The sequence below is a fragment of the Homo sapiens genome, chromosome 11 (genome assembly GCF_000001405.40).
Source record: "Homo sapiens chromosome 11, GRCh38.p14 Primary Assembly".
Taxonomy (NCBI): Eukaryota; Metazoa; Chordata; class Mammalia; order Primates; family Hominidae; genus Homo; species Homo sapiens.
In genome coordinates, this window is record NC_000011.10 from 2,526,098 (window position 1) to 2,542,194 (window position 16,097).

Sequence of the window (16,097 nt, forward strand, 5' to 3'; positions counted from 1 at the left end):
CCCTGAGGTGGGCCGGGCTGGGCACAGTCAGGACTGGCAACAAGGGCCGGGAGGAGCTGGGGTGATCTGGGGCCATCGTGGTGTAAATACTGGGGCACGACATGGAGGGTTCACTGACTGGCTGGGTGTGTGGGCTGGGGGCGCCGAGGGTGGAGGTGGGCACTGTGGTCAGGGGGAGATGAGGATGGATGGGCAGGGTGCAGACAGGGGCTGGCTGGGTTCGGCTCTGCAGGTAGAGCTGACCGGTGTGGCAGGGACAGGGTGTCGGTGAGGCAGGTGGCTGAGGAAATGGTAGCTGCAGGTTTTGGCCCCAGTCCCAGCAGCGGGACTATGGCTGTGGGGAGGGAGGAACCCAGGGAGGGGGCCTGAGCAGGGTCTTTGGCTGAGTGAGCCCTCAAGGGCCTTTGGGTAGGGCTACCAGAGGCCAGGAAAGGATTGTCCTGTCCACAGGAGCTTGGGGAAGGGGGTGGGGGGCCAGAGCCCCACCTTCCCCAGAAACCTCCGTGCAGCAGGAGGATGAGCCGAGGCAGGCTGTGCTGGGAGGTAGCCTGTTTGTTGTGGGCTCTGGGGGCCTGGGGAGGGTGGGCTGGGCTGTCCACATCTGGACAGGTGGAAGAGGATGGGTTCTGGGTGGGGCTGACTTCAGGAGGCTGGATGAGAGGCAATGCAGGGGGCCTTCTGGCTGTCCTGGGGTGGGTTAGAAGCCACTCAGGATGGCAGGATCTCAGGGAGCGGAGGGAGCCTGGGGCACCCTATGCCAGGCAGAGGATCTATGCCGGGGCCCCCAGGGTCTGTGTGTGGCTTTCTCTGTTTGTGTCTCCCCTGGCCCTGGGGGCCATGTGGCCATCTCCTGGCTCTCCGGTCGCTGAGGATCCACGGGGGTCCCTGGAGTCTCCGGAGCCCGTGGGAATCCCCCTAGAGGCGGGAGGAAGGCCGGGCGGGCCCTGGAGGGTACGTTTGCAGTGGCAGCAGCTCCCTATCTTTATGGTTCCGGCGATCAGAGAAGGCGGCCCGTCTTTTCTCTGCGGGCCCACAGGCCCAGAACGTTGGCCCCAGGGTGGGGCTCTGTGCGCCTTCCCTTTCATGAGTTCTGTGGCTCGGCCTCGGGGCCTTGGAAAGGAGGAAGTGAAACTGGAGGAGAGCGGCCCACAGCCTGCCGCCTGGAGGCTCCTCTGGGAAGCAGACGCTTGGTGCAGGTGTCAGGACCCCCACCTGGCGGGCTGGCTTCTGTGCTGTGACCACCAACACCCCTGCCCTGGGCCCTGAACTCCTGGACAGGGGGCGTTGACTGCTCTCTGGAAGTGATTTGTAAAATCAGCTTTGTAGAGACGTAATTACACACTGCAGTTCATTTGTGGCTCTAGGGCCCTAAGTGGCTCTAGAATGTTCAGAGTTGTGTAGCCACCACCACCATCCACATCCAGAACGTTTAATTACCCCAAAAGAAAACCCCACGCCCACAGCAGTCCCGCCCTGGGGCAGCCACCAGCCTGCTTTCTGTTTCTGTGGCTCTGGCTGTCCAGGGCGTAGCCACACTGCAGGTGGTCAGCAGGTGGTCACCTGTCTGTGTCTGGCCTTGGCGCCATGTTTCTCGGACCCATCCACGTGGCAGCATGTGTTGGTGCTTCGTCCCTTCCCGTGGCGGGACGGCATCCCTCGTGCGGACCTACCTCTAGTGTGTGCTTACCAGCTAATGGATGACTGGGTTTTCGAAGCACTGTCTGTTCCTACCTGGGGGCGGGGCTGAGGCCAGGGGCCCCTCCACTCCCCAGGTGCATCTGTGGGATGGGCAGAGGCCGTGATGCTGACTGCCGTGTCCCTGTCTTGCAGCTTCCTCATCGTCCTGGTCTGCCTCATCTTCAGCGTGCTGTCCACCATCGAGCAGTATGCCGCCCTGGCCACGGGGACTCTCTTCTGGATGGTACGTAGCATCTGAGGGCATGGCTGGATGTCATGGCTGCCTTGGAAGCTGGCATCTCCCTGGCGCTGGGCCCCATAAGGTGGGGGGCAGAGCCACTCCCAGCCCCTTGCCCACACATTGGTCCTGCCCTGATACAGGGGGCACCTCCCCAGCCCCCACACTTGCCAAGTGACTTGGGATGTATGTGCCACAGGCGAGGGGGACCAAGGACTGAGGGGAACCTGGAGCTGGTGGTCTGAAAGGGCTTCCTGGAGGAGGGGCTTCCAGGCTGGGCTGGAAGGAAGGAAGGAGGAGGTAGGGTAGAGCTGGTGTGGCCAGCAAAGGCCTGCCCGAGCCTTCGTGTCCCTGGGGTCTGGGTGACTCTGTTCCTGGGTTATGGCTGGCACACAGGCCCTGCTGGTGTCCCAGCAGCAGCCCCCACCCCAGGCACCTGGATGGTCCCTTCCATTGGCCTGAGCGGTGTCTGTGCCATTTCTGCCAGGCAGGTGCTGAGAGCAGGGCAGGGCAGGCTCATAGCCTGGTGGGAAACCCCAAAGTTGATCTGGCCGTGAGGCTGCCTGGAAGGTGGGGTGCAGGGGGCCAGCTGTGTCTGGAGCCCACGGGGTCCCCACGGAAGCCACCTGAATGTGGGCCGTGAGCAGCAGGACTCTGGCAGGACTGGGTCTAGCACCTCTCCGTGGCCAGGCTTTTGTGTTTTCCTGTCTTGTCGTGGAATAGTTCTAGTATCTACAAAGGAAGAGAGTGTCACGACTCAGCTCCCGGCATGCACAGGCAGATCTGGGCTGGTTTCATGCTGCTTTCTGGCACTGTGTCTTCCTGGCCAGGGGAGCCCGTCCCTCCGGGGTCCAGAGTCCTCTCGCGATGGCCTCGGCAGTGGTATCCGTCTCATTTCTAGGGAGTCCGTTTTACCTTTCCTTTGTTGCTTCTGGACCTTGAGCCATAGCTGGAAGAACTCACCTGTGGTTTCCTCCAGCCCTGACCAGGTTAACTGTGTGTGCTCCATGGTGGCTGGGAGTTTCCTGGGTAAGTGGTGTGAGGCACAGGCCTGCTGTCACTCTTCCCTCGTCTTCCCAGTTCTCCCAGCACTATGTTTTCCACAGTCCATCTGTCCTGCCTGACTGGAGGGGCCGTCTTCTCTGTAAACCAGACGTCCAGAGGCAGTAGGAAGGGTCTGCTTTGGGGTTTTTCTATTCTGTCCCACTGGTCTCCTGGACTTTTCCTTTACCAGGGCCCTACTGACTTGGTGGTCCCGGTACTAAAATCAATTTCATGATGTCACTTTGTGCCTCGGCAGGGCTTTCTTTTTCGGGGGTTTCCTGGTGGCGCTTGCAGCCTTGCTTTTCCCAGTGAACGTTGCCATCACCTTATCCAGCCCCGGGAAGAAACTCGAAGGCCGCGGGTGAATAAACTGGGGGAGACTGACATCTCGGTGGTCTCCAGGAGCATGGTGTGTGTGTTTATGGGCAGCATTTTATGGTTTCATTATGTAGATTGCAGGCAGTTTAAGTCTATTCCTCATCATAATAATATTGAGAGAATAAGTTGTTATTGTTGCCATCACATAGGGAGTTTCTAGTCTATCATGTTTTCCAGGCACTTTCCTGGCGTCTGCGAAAGCTGTTAATTTCTGCTACAGCCTGTGGTCCTGCTACTTCTCGTGACTGTGGTCGTAGAAGTTTTTCCCTCTGTCCTTTGCATCTTTTGCGTTTCCAGATAAGGGATGCCTTCCAGGAGGGCAGATTGCTGCTTGGGTCTGTCCAGAGCTGGGGGTGGTACCTGCGGCCAGCGGGGCCCTCCTGGCTTCTGTGGGCGGGCCGGCTGCCAGGCGGGGGGTGCGCACCTCCCGTGCTCAGGAAGGGTCCTTCAGGTCCGATGCCTGGCGTGGTTTTACGGTGACCATGTGGATTCTGGTCAGGGGTCTTTCCTGCTTCTGTGAGGTGCTCCTGTCAGTGAGGGGCCCCCCTTGCCTTCCTGGAATAAACCCCCTTGGTCCTGGCGTGTGAGTTTCATGTCCTATCACATTGTACTCTCATGCTTTGTTCAGACTTTTGCACTGCCCTGTGAAGTGGGGTGTGTGTGTCATCTTGTGGTGCCATCTTGGTTGGGGTGAGGCCGTCCTTCCCCCACAGGGCGATGTCCAATACCCTTGGCAGCATGGGCCTCATGTTTTATGGGGTCCCCAAGGTACCTGCCCAGGATCCCCAAGTCCTCCTCACCCACCACAGACCTGGCTCTCAGATGAGCACCCAGCCAAGTCTCTGGCCATGTCTAGCAGGAGGATGTTCTGCCCCGGCCAACTGACAGGGTTGGCTCAACTGCAGGAGTGGGCACGGCATGTCCTTTGCTGGTTCTGCCATGGGGCGGGTCTGTGGGGGGTCCCTGACCTGGTAGTTGTCCCTGGAGGGCCTGGGGCCAAGGATGCCAGTGGTTCCCAGGCTGTGAGAGCCGCGCTGCCAAACATTCCCCTGGAGAGTCTCCGTGTGAGGCCCTTTGTACCTCTGCAGGTGTGTGTACATGTGTGTATGTGAGTGCCCACATGCACGGGAATGTGTACACGCATGTGCGTGTTTATGGGTGAGCTGTGTGCTTAAGTGTGCATCTGTATCTGAGTATTATGTAAGTGTGCATACACATGAGCACGTGGGGACTTTCACGCATGTTTGGCTCTGTTTCAATGTGTGTACATGTGTGCACATGTGTATCTGAGCGTGTACATGTGTGAATGTGGCCACATATAGGCACATTGTAGTGTGCGCCTGTGAGCATGTATTGTATGTTTATGCATGGCTGTGTTGTGTGTATTTATGTATAGCTATGTGTCGCTGCGTGTGTGTACCTATGTGTATGTACGTGTGTTCATGCCTGTGCTGTGTGTGAGACGTGAGATCCTGCCTGTCCCATCCCTCACGTACTAACCTGGATCTAGGTGGTTAGCCCCTCGCCCCCAGGTGGCCTGGGACTTGCCTGGTTTTAAATGGAGCCCCGGTGCTAACGTGAGCCCACCCAGGTGCTCCTGCCCAGCCAGGGCTGTCTGTCAGCACCACAGCGTCCAAGTTCAGGTCCTCACTTCCTAGGTGGTTATCTCCCAGGCAGCTGGGAGGGCGAAGCCTGGAGAAGCCTGCACCCAGGCTGGACCTGCAGGGACCTTCAGACGTGCCCTGGGCTCCACATGCCCGTCTGCAGCTCGAGAATTAGACGTGCCCTGGGCTCCACATGCCCGTCTGCAGCTCGAGAATTAGACGTGCCCTGGGCTCCACATGCCCGTCTGCAGCTCGAGAATTAGACGTGCCCTGGGCTTCATGTGCCCGTCTGCAGCCCTAGAATCACCAGCAGCACCCCAAGGCCCCCATGCGGCATCTAAACCAGGCAGGGGACAGGGGCATGGAGCAGACCAGGTAGGGTTGCTCCCTAGGATGCAGCCCTGCCCAGGCAGGAGGGCAGACCCTACACAGTGCTGAGCTGTGCCCCCAGGGAAGCCTCCAAGATGGTCCTCATCCCAGCAGCCCTGCCCACTGTCTGCGCATCCCTGGGGTCTGTGCGCCACCTGGTGGCTATTTGCTGAACTGTGGCCACAAACCCCTGGTCAGCAGGAACCGGCCCTTTCACTGCCCTGCAGCTCCCTCTCCTCCGGGGTGGCATGGCAGAGAAGCAGCCCGTGGCCCCAAGCATAGAGCCCCCTTTCTGCTGTAGTCCCCCTTGCAGTCCCCTCTGCCTTTTCCACTGCTTGGAAGGCAGAGAGACCCTGGCCGCCTCCCTTGTCCCTTTATCTGTCATGCCAGCTGCCTCCCTGCCACACCTTGCGTCTCACCAGGCAACCCTGCAAACAGCAGCTGGGGAGGACTTTCTAAGACAAAAACCTGATCATTCCAGAAGCTCCCTGTGACGTTTAGGCTACATTCCCCAAGGTGGTGCCACGTTCAGGCCCATCACCTGTAACACTACCCACCCCACCTCACCCAGCCTGGGCTCACTCACTCCAGGCCAAGCCTTGGACATTCCTGGCTGCCCCAGGGCCTTTGCAAGCCCTCTTCTCTGGACCTGGCTGTCCTCGGGAGTGTCAGCACTCAGCCTCTTGTCAGGTTTCAGGCCTCTGCTTGGCACTATCCTGCACACCATCCCCGCCGACCTGCCCTGTTCTGGGTTCATGGGGCTCTGGGAGGCTCACAAGCATCTGTCTGCCTCAGGCCATTCCACACTCCCTGAGGGTGGGACCCCGTGGCTGCGCTAACCCCACAAGCTCTGCATGGCGCTTCCTGGCCGTGCATGTCCCTCCCTGCATCAAATGCATAGGCCAGAGTTGCCCAGCGAGGATGACCCAGCTTGGTATGTGCTCCCGGCTTCAGCTGCCCCTGCGTGATGGAGACACCCTCCCACTCGCCTTGCCACACTTCCCAGCAGTCTCTCGAAGCACTGGCCGCGTGGAAACAAATCCTTCAAGGGGATTTGAGGGTCCAGCTGTCACTCAGTCATGGCCATGGTGGGGGCACGTTGGGGACACAGCAGAGAGTGAGGCAGCCGTGGGCCTGGCCTTGACAGGCGGATGTACAGACACATCAGGGCCGAGACTGAGGCGTGGGCTCTGGGTGGGGAGACAGTGACCACTTGCTTGGAGGAGGGGGCGCTCAGGTGGGAGGGGCACAGTGAGAAGGAGGTAAGCTGGTGCTGGCGGGGCAGGCAGGGACCCCTCCCAGGGCTCACAGCTTCCAGCGGACAGCAGGCACAGGGCTGTGGGGATCAGAGCACAGGCAGAAGTCACCTGACAGCAGGTTCCCGAGGCTTCAGGCCTGGAGGAGTGAGGACGGCTGTTGGGTTCTTGATTCCAGCAGAGGGAGGCTGTGCAGGGTTGCAGGAAGGACGGTTGGGGGCGCTTCGGGGAGGTACGAGAAGCAAAGGTGTTTGCAGCCCTTGGGGCCAGGCGGCGGGAAGGCCTGTAGACGCCAGAGGGCGCTCGTGCTACATGCAACTCAGGAGCTGCTGGCACCCGCCAAGGAGTGCTGAGCGCGGGGAGCCCAAACCACAGCCTTGGGGAACCCAGGAGGGGCCGGGCGGGTGCAGGACCCGCATGAGGGATTCCGAGAGCACGATGTTTAAATGTTGGGGGAAAAAATGGATCAAAGCGATGTGTTCCCAGGGAGCCCCTGTTTTCTCGTTTCTTTTCGTACGCCCAGCTTTGCAGTGCCAGAAAGCTGTTATCTCAGCACTGCTAAGGAAACCCCAGCGCGGCCTCGGAGGGATTAGGCATTCTGCTGAACCAGGGATATGCGGTGGGCCTGAAAAAGCCATTTCGGGAGGAATCTGGTCTCGGCTGGGGTCCGGCCGGCACCGTGAACACCACGTGAACACCACGTCGGAAATCTGCTGGGCAGGGAGATTTCCTCAAGGCCTCCCAGGGAGGAGAGCCACTTCCTGGGCTGCAAAGAGGGCCCCAACCTGGCTTCTGAATTCAGAGGGGGCTGTGTGTGCACGTGTGTACGTACGTGCATGTGCACGTCTGTGTACCCATGTCTGTGGAAGTGGCACACGTGTGCATGTGTGCACTCAGTGTACGTGTGCGTGCCTGTGGGTAGCTCCGTGCGCACATGCGTACACATATGCCTGGTGTGTGTGTGCACACGTGTGTCTGACGTGTGTGTGCTTTGCGTGTTCTTGCCTGGGAAGGAGTTCCCGGTTTGGGTGGCTCTCCTGTTTCTTGCCGAAGCCAGCTGCTGCTAGAAACTGGCCCCCTGCTCTCTGCAGTAAGAGACCCTGCCCTGGCCCAGGTGAGGGCCTGGCTTTTGTCTCCAGGATCACAGCTTTTGTCAAACTCCACACAAAGAGAGAGGCACTCAAAAGCACAACACAAACACGGCTAGTCCGCGCCTTTGGTGGTGAACATACCAGGGAATTGTCCTGCAATGCCTGTGGTTAAAAAACCCCGTGAGCTGCGGCCCCGGAGGCCTAGGGGATGAGGTCATCGCTGCGGCTTCCTCCCCTCTGCTGAGGCTCCCTCCGCCCCGCCCGGTGGCCCACCCCTCCCGCCAGCTGCAGCCTCCACTGCCTGGGTTTCTGCTGCGCCTTCAGCACACAGCGAGGCCTCAGTTTCCCTCCCAGCTCAGAGCAAGGCCTCAGTTTCCCTCCCAGCAGCAAAGTGAGACCCTGTAGGGAGTCTCTGGGCCTCCGTGACGGCCCTGGGCGGCCCTCTCTGTGGAACAAGGTCGGGTCCTGTCCTCAGCGCCCTGGCCTCCACTTGCTCAGGGCGCCCGCAGGCCCGCAGGTCCTCACCTGGTGTTTTTCACCTGGGACCCGCAGCTGCTCTGATGAGGAGCCTGCTCTGCGCACGGCCTGGGGCGGTTTCCCGCAGCACCATTTCTGCCGCTGCCGGGAAAAGACGCAGAGCAAAGGCACCTTTGCCCAGGTTGGGGAACCAGTGGGTGACTCAGGATTTTCCTCCACCCACCCCGAGGTCTGACTCCCTCTGCAGCTGCCGCCCGCTGAGGGTTGTCTTCCTCCCTGCCTGCCTCGCCCTGCCTGGTGAGCTCCTATGGGTCTGACGAAGCCCCGTCCTGCACACTTGCTTCGGGGGCAACTCCCCACTAGACTGGTTGCCCAGGGACGGGGGTACCCACTCCCTCCTCAGGGCTGCAGGGTGCTCTGGGAAGAGTTGTGTCCCTCTGTGGGCCTGTGGGCTCACTTGCCTTTTTGTCCCTGTCACTTGGGAGCTACCCAGCTAAGACCGGTCCCCACCACCCAGGCCACTCTGAGGCTTCAGAACGCGGTCGTCTTCTCCCTGGCAGGGTTGTTTCCGCCTGCATTTGTTCAGCCAGCAAATCTTTATTAAGCACCTACTGTGTGCCAGGATCTATGTGCAAGCAGCCCATGGGCTCATGAAAGGCAGAGCTGGACTGAGATTCCGCACCCCTGGGATCCTCACTGCAGGGCCCTGTGTATGTGCGGGCTGGAGCCCTGGTTCCTGTCTGCACTGAGCCCCTGGAGCTAGGCCCAGAGGACTTGACAGATGTGGGCCCTCTGTCTGCACAGCCCCCAGGGCACGGGGTGGCCTGCAGCTCTGCCCAGCCAGACTTCAGGTCACTGCCCCATGAGCCTGTAGGAGAAACTTCTCACTCATCTGTCCTGAGACCTGCCTGGAGCCCACCCCAGGGAGACAGAGGCTCTCGGAGCCTGTTCAGGGTGAAAGGACGCTAGACACTGGCCTGCAGGCTTTGGGCGGGTAAGGGTAGCGAAGGTGAAAGTGGACCAGGGGCAGGTGGAGCAGGGTAGGCCCAAGTGTCTGTCTGGGGCAGCTGGGGACACCCAGGTGGGCTGAACTTCAGCTGCCACCCAGCTTCAGCTGCCAAGGCTCCTCCCGGGTCAGGGTCGACCCCTGATGTCCCGGCAAGAGTTCCAAGAACAAAGGCTCAGAATCCACCAAGCGGAACTTGAAGCCACTGCCCTGTGGGGACAGGAGAAGTGACTTGGCCGGCTCTCCGGAGCCCAGTGTTGATCACTGAGGACCACCGGATACAAGTCCCTCCTGCCTTCCCCTTTAGTGACACTGAAGCTGTTGAAATCCCCATCCACCAGGAGCTCCTGGTCCTGGGGAGCCCTGTGCAACCCACTCACTGCCTTTCAGAGCCCTGTGGCGTCTCTCTCATGCGCTGGCCGTAGAGCTTCCTGAAAGCATCTCTATCACCCACTCTGCACCTGAGAGAGGGCGGTCAGGTGACTGGTACCCCCTGAAGACCTGGGACCAGGCCCCCTGCCTCTGGGAATCCATCAAAATGCTCCCTTCTGAGGCCGCTTTGCTGGGCGTAGGATCAGCCTTGCTTTGAGGGCTGTTTAGGAGAGGAACCCCGGCGCTGCTGCTCCCCGGAGGCAGCCAGTGCTTGTGATGGGCACCCTGCCTCCAGTGTTCTGCTTCAGGGTGTGGGATGCACAGCTGGGGGCAGGGGCGCTGCTGAAGCCACAGTCTCAGAGCCTGAGGCCCACGGGGCATGGCATGAAGACCCGGTGGTTCTGTTCCCCCGGGACAGCCTTGGTCCAGCCTCACTGGCCACATGCTCTGCCGAGCACACCCGCTGCTGTCCCCAGCCACCCAGCCCCATGCACAGGCCACGCGGCGACAGGGGCTGCTGAAGGAAGGCTGGTCCGCTCCCTGCCTGTGACAGGAGCTCAGGCTCAGGGCAGCAGGGGCGCTCAGCTGGGCCGCGGCTCCACGGTGTTAAGGGATTCTAGAAATTTCCTGCTGTGCCAGGCTGCAGCAGAGACTCCGGCCCCACCAGGCTTCCTGTACTTGGTGATAAACACACCATCCGCACTGCCTGCGGCTCTTACAGGAGTCTCTCGTGCACCATTGCTCAACCCCCGAGAGTTATGGAAGGAAGGGAGGCTGGGGTGGGTGCCCCGAGTGCCTTGTTGGAGTGGAGGCTGGCGCTGCCCTGCCCCACAGGGTGGCTGGCAGGGCTCAGCAGTTGCCTGGCCTGTGGGGGCAGAGGACCTGGGGAGACATGCTGAGCCCTCCCAGCGAGACACTGAGGGTCGGGAGGGTAACATGTGATTTTGAGGCCACCCGCTACAGCTTCTTGGGACCTCCCTCTCTCAGGCGGGTCTGGAACCCAACAGAGCTGGTTTGGGCCACAGCAGTGGCTTCCCAGGCTGGGCTTCAAAACCGGACACAGGGCGTGGCTCTCCCTCCCAGCCTGCCAGAGGGACCGCTGGGCCTATCTCCAGCCACGTGGGTCGCGAGAGTCGACCTGGGCTGCGTGATGGGGGACCCCAGGCTGGGCGGCTTAAACCGTGGAGGTCGCCCTCTCACAGCTCTGGACGATGGAGGGCCGAGACCCAGGTGTGGGCAGGGCTGGTTCTTCTGAGGCCCCTCCCGGCTTCTGAGGGTGGCTAGCAACTGTCTTCTAGATGTAGTACCCCAATCCCCCCCAGTCCCTCCCTTTACCTCACAGGGCATCCTCCCTGCGTGTGAGTCTGGAGCCAAATTTCTCCTCTATGTAAGGACACCAGTCTTACTGGATTGGAGGCTACCCTACTCCACTGTGACCCCCCTCCTAACTGATCATATCTGCAGGGACCCCATTTCCAAACAAGGTCTTACTCTGAGTACTGGGGATTAGGGCTTCATCATATGAATTTGAGGGCAACCCAGGGGTCTCCAAACCATGGCCCACAGGGTGGCTCCCTGTGTGTGTAAATAAAGCTTTATTAGCACACAGCACCACATACTTGAGGGCCTAATGCCTCTGGCTGCTTTGTGCCATGGCAGATTTGAGTCCTGCCATGGAGACCATGCAGCCCACAGGGCCTAAGATTTCTACTACCTGACCTTCCAGGAAAGGTTTGCCACGCTATTTATTTAGCAGGATAATTTTGGAAAGAGCAGTTGCTAGGGGCATTTAAACTTGCAGTCGAATTAGTAACAATTTTATTTTTTGGGAAAATAGAAGTGGGAGAGCGTGTGCCCCGGGCCAGCCCACCGTGCCCCACGTTTCTACAGTGCCCAGGTTGGCGCAGGGCCTTTTGGTTCCACAGTCTGTGTCTTTCTTCCTGGGTGTCTGAATTTTGATTTAATCTCAGGCTTGTCAGAACGAGCAGCTCCCAGGCACCCTCTGCCAGGTCAGCAGTGGCTTTCATCTTCTGCCATTTGCTCTGCACGTTTCTCTCTATATGCAAAAACCTATATGGGTTTTGTGGGGTTTTTTGTTGTTGGTTTTTTATTTTTATTTTTTTGAGAGAGAGAGGGTCTTGCTGTGTTGCCCAGGTTGGAGAGTAGTGGCATACTCACGGCTCACTGCAGCCTCGGCCTCCTGGCCTCAAGTGTTCCCACTTCAGCCTCCTGAGCAGCTGGGACTGTGGGTGCGTGCCACCATGCCCCGCTAATTTTTGTATTTTTTGTAGAGATAGGGTTTTGCCATGTTACCTAGGCTGGTCTTAAACTCCTGAGTTCAAACAATCCTCCCACCTCGGCCAACCCAAAGTGCTGAGATTATAGGCATGAACCACTGCACTCAGCCTGCTTTGTTTTTATCCTGAGTCATTTGAGAGTAAGTTGGAGGCAGTATGACCGTTTCTCCGTATAAAGCCCGTGTATATCCTCTGGAATGAGGACCTTCAACTTAGCCAGGGTGTCCGACTCTCAGGACACCGCTGTCCATTTCACAGCCTGCATTTAAGGCTCGTCACTGGTCCCAGTGAGTGTGGCTGGTTTTTTCTCATTGCACATGGCTGTCACGCGGTTTCAGCTTCTTTGACCTGGAGCAGCCCTGCCCGGCCTTCCCTTCTTGGTCTCTCTCTTGGGCAGGGAAGGGCGGTGGACATGGAGGCTTGGGGACAGTCCCCTGGCCCCACGGATGTTGTGTGGACGAGTTGGAGGGCTCACAGGCCCCTCTGTGGGGCCCAGGGCAGAGGCAGCAGGCAGGCTGTCTCCACCACGATGGACATCATTTATGCCCCAGCCAGGTCCCCTGTCCCAGGACCGCGGTTGACAGGGTTTGGATTGGCTGCGTTCCTGTCTGAAGGCAGCTGCTTGGGAGGAGGACAGCTGACATTCTTTCATGCGAAATCTGCTTGCGGGAGAGTCGTGAAAGTGGGAATCCTGGGCTGGAACCGGAACGTTCCCCGAGTACATAGGAATCCTGGGCTGGAACCGGAAACTTCCCTGAGTATACGGGGCCTTGTGTGTGGAGGGGCCCTACGGTGAATCGTTTTCTGTAACAAAGGCTTCCTCTGTGCAGCCCACACACGGGCCTCACGTTATCTTCTGCAGGCCAGAATTGTCATATATATCAAGTTTGTTCAGAACAAGATGGGGTGGGGTGGGGGGCAGTGAGGGGCCTGGGGCAGGAGGTAGAGGAAACTGCAAGATTTTTTAAACCTTCTCCAAAAACACGTAACCCGATTCTGTCCAAGCGATTTGTGAGAATGGGGTTGACACCCCTGGGCTGGAACCTGGGAACCACCAGTCAGCGTCTTTCCTCCAGGGAGGCTGTGCAGAGGGAAGGCAGTGAGCCCCACCTGGGTTTGAGGAACCTGGGGCTTCAAGGGAGGCGGTCTCAGCCCATGGTGCTCCGGCCAGGGGTGGGGCAGCCGAGGCATGAGTGGATGATGTCCCGTCGGCAGCCCGTGGTCCCTCTGGGGGGCAAGGTGCCTGTTCCCCATTGCTCCTCCACCAGAACACCTCCTCCAGATCTCCGCCAGGTGCGCCCCCTGAAGGAAAAGGGGATGGGGGCCTGGCTCGTGCCTGGTGGCAAGTCCTCTTGGGCCCCAGAAAGACCCCATAATGGCCAGGTAGAAGCTCCTACCTGCTGCTGCCTGAAGAGTCTGGGGCCCTGTCGGCTGGTTCCATCGTCTTCCCTGTTTTCAAGCTACAGGAGCGCAATCTTTCCAGAGCATTGAGTGGCTAGAGGAACGGGCTTACGCTAGGCAGGCGCTGGCATCTTAGACAATACCTGACATCTTTGCGGGAGCTCTGGTGAGAGGCCCCACAAGCGTGTGACCCTGTGCGGACTCCACCGCGGCAGCCTGGGAGCCAAGCCGATGGCTGTGCTGGCCGAAGGGAACACCGCCATGGTGCTCTGCTCTCTGCAGCCCTGGGTCTGGTTGGAAGTTGCATCCCTGGTGAAGGGCGGCCGCGGCTTTCCAGCTCTCCCAGGCCAGTTCCCGTGTTTTCTCTCCCGCCTTCCCCATAGTCCAGGACAAAAGTCAGACCTTGGTGGGGGGTGCGCCTGCTGCAGGGGCCCCCAGGCTTCTCCATTCGGGTTTAGTGGGATTAGAGTGTGCGGCCATGGGGACAGGTGTTTCCTTTATGTTCTGCCTGAGGGCTGGAAAGAGCCTCATCAGTGAGTGCCACGTTCGGTGGGGGTCTCTGGTGCAGGGGAGCCGGCGGGCCGGGTTGGGTTATGTCCTTGTTTTCACATCTGACCCTGGCCAGCTGGAGAGCCTCGCTTGAAGCGCAGGGCAGCAGCTGACACAACACAACGGGACGGGCTGAGCAGGCCGGGCGCAGGCAGGCTTGGGGGAGCTGGCACTGGCACTGCACGTGGGGCTCCTAGGGGGCTGCTAGGGAAGTCATTGGGGGATAATAGGATCCACCCTGTGGGGCCCACTGGCCATGGAGTACTGCACAGTGGGGTCCACCCGCTGTGTCCCTGAACAAGGAGGTAGCCTGAGGTCTCCTCTGACGCTGGGCAGCAGCCTGGGGAGGGGGCTGGGCAGGTGCCAGGGGAACCCCCTAGAGGGCATTACATTCAGATGAGTTCTAATTATGTTCTTGGCTTCCCAGGTCACACAGAGTGAAAACCAGAGGCCCTGGCCGTGCACCATTGAAGTGTGTCATCATGTGACTTTGCAGGTTGGGGGGACAGGGCTCGGTGCGGCCTCACGGGGTCAGGAGCCACGGCTCGAGCACCTCGGATCCCAGCCCCCTGTTCAGGGCCAGGCCTAGACAGCTCTTCCCACGAGATTTTCTTTCTCCCGGGTATAAAACTGGCCAACGGGATGCCTGGTGGGATGACTGGGGTACCTGGGGCCAGGGGCGGCCAGCAGCCTCCTCAGTAGCTTGTGGGAGATGCTCTCAACCCCAAGGTCAGCTCCAGCTGGCCTCAGGAGGAGTGGATGTTCCCTTCAGGTGTCTTTAGGACCCTGGCAACTGGGGACAATAGTCTCCTCCCCAAATATGCAGTCTTGACTCCTGGCCACTTGGGAAGGTGCGTTCTGGTCCTCTGGGCCTCACAGCTTTGTGCCCTCTAGGGTGGCAATGGGAGGCAGAGAGCACAGCCTGGGGACTTGCTGTGAGGGGACTGCATTTAGATTTTTAGGTGAAGCCAATCCCTGTTGGGCTGAGAAAAGTCCTGGGCGGCTGTGAGCTGGTGGTGAGTTTTCCAGACTTGGTCATGGTCAAGGTAGTTGAAGTCGGGGGTTGAAAAACACACTCGTGTCCAGCCCAGATGCCTTATGGAGAAGAGGATGCACAGGCACACACGCACAGACATATGTGCACGGATGGGCGTGTGGACGTATGCACACATAGGTACCCATGTGGACACACTCACGTGTGTGTGCACGTTCAGGCTCAGACACGTGCCTGCATGCACACGTGCACACGTGCACACCCAGCCCTGGACCTCAGGCAGGCAGGGAGAGAGACCCCCTTGGGGCCGCGTTCCATTTGCACATTTAATCCAGAAACTGTCAGCATGGGAAGCCTGGATGAGAACAAAATGTCAAGTGTGTGCCGAGAGGCGCAGGCCAGCCCCTTTTCCTGGCGGGGTGATGATCTGGTCAGTTTCCGAGCACCATGTGCTGAGAATGATGCGTGCATTCAGAGCAGCATTTGGTGGGGAACCTGGGGGAAGGGCGGGCGTCTTTATTTCATTTTAGCTTTCTTTAGCGGGGCCTGTGTCTCTTCTCACTGACCGTTTTCTGAAACTGGCTGGGGAGGGTCAGGGATGGCTGCTGTCCTCGGGGGAGGGACTGAGCTGGGCCCTTTTCGTTGGTTAGTTCTCAGTGTGGCCTACCCAGCCAGGTCCCTGGACCTGGCGGTGGCTATGAAAGCCTGGGATTGAGGACAAAGCCATGGGGACGCCGTTTTCGGGATGCTTGTGAGCAGGGCTTTGTCCCCACCGTTAGGATACTCTGAACGTTCCCAGAAAGCCCCCTTCTGCTCAAGTTCTCTTGCTTCATCTCAGGCTCAGGTGTTTTGAGTTTTTTTTTTTTTTTAAATGAGGACATCTGTTAGACCACTTAGGAGTTCTAGAACCTTTGGAAAACCCCCTCTCATCCCGGGAGTTTGTAAGAATTTGTAGTTTCTCCCCAGAGTTCATGGAGCCCCTGTCAGAGGCGCTGAGGCCCAGGTCCTGTGGCTGGTCCTCGCATAGACATCAGCTAAGGGGGTTTGGGGGCCAGTCGGCAGCCTCTGGAGGCCTCTGCACCCCTCCTGTGAAAGGCCGGCGCAGAGCTGCACCGTGGGGTCCCCTGGCTTGGGGTGGGCCTCAGAGGCTGTCGCCGTGCCTGCTGTGGCTCTCCATGGCCCTGGAGCCTGGGATTGCAGAAAGACTCCCAGACCTTGCTGGGGAAACTCCAGGATATGGGGGTATCCAGACTCCTGAGACTTCCCCGTGGGTCCACACACGTCACCAATCCTCTCTGCACCTCAGCTTCCTCATGTGTGAAATTCAGGTCATATCAGGACCTC

General features: G+C 59.3%; 1 protein-coding gene across 5 annotated transcripts in view, besides 4 other annotated features; it reads left to right on the plus strand.

Moving 5' to 3' along the window:
* Positions 1-16,097, plus strand: part of KCNQ1 (potassium voltage-gated channel subfamily Q member 1) — a 404,098-nt gene that overhangs the window by 81,090 nt on the left and 306,911 nt on the right. For all 5 annotated transcript variants that reach the window (NM_001406837.1, NM_000218.3, NM_001406836.1 and 2 more), the window contains one exon: positions 1,831-1,921. In NM_001406837.1, coding sequence (NP_001393766.1) covers positions 1,831-1,921 — 91 coding nt within the window. The remainder of the gene's footprint in view (positions 1-1,830; positions 1,922-16,097) is intronic.
* Positions 2,709-2,909: a silencer, noted in NCBI's record as "peak1163 fragment used in MPRA reporter construct". NCBI's record gives its function as "represses an SCP1 promoter by STARR-seq MPRAs in K562 erythroleukemia cells {active_cell/tissue: K562}" and the evidence as "EXISTENCE:reporter gene assay evidence [ECO:0000049][PMID:32103011]".
* Positions 6,599-6,708: an enhancer, noted in NCBI's record as "active region_4305". NCBI's record gives its function as "activates an Ori minimal core promoter by ATAC-STARR-seq in GM12878 lymphoblastoid cells {active_cell/tissue: GM12878}" and the evidence as "EXISTENCE:reporter gene assay evidence [ECO:0000049][PMID:35858748]".
* Positions 7,465-7,625: a silencer, noted in NCBI's record as "fragment chr11:2554792-2554952 (GRCh37/hg19 assembly coordinates)". NCBI's record gives its function as "represses an EF-1alpha promoter that drives an FKBP-Casp9 reporter gene in an ReSE screen in HepG2 liver carcinoma cells {active_cell/tissue: HepG2}" and the evidence as "EXISTENCE:reporter gene assay evidence [ECO:0000049][PMID:32094911]".
* Positions 9,459-9,959: an enhancer, noted in NCBI's record as "H3K27ac hESC enhancer chr11:2556786-2557286 (GRCh37/hg19 assembly coordinates)". NCBI's record gives its function as "activates a minimal SCP1, AML or CMV promoter by ChIP-STARR-seq in naive H9 embryonic stem cells {active_cell/tissue: H9 hESC(naive)}" and the evidence as "EXISTENCE:reporter gene assay evidence [ECO:0000049][PMID:30033119]".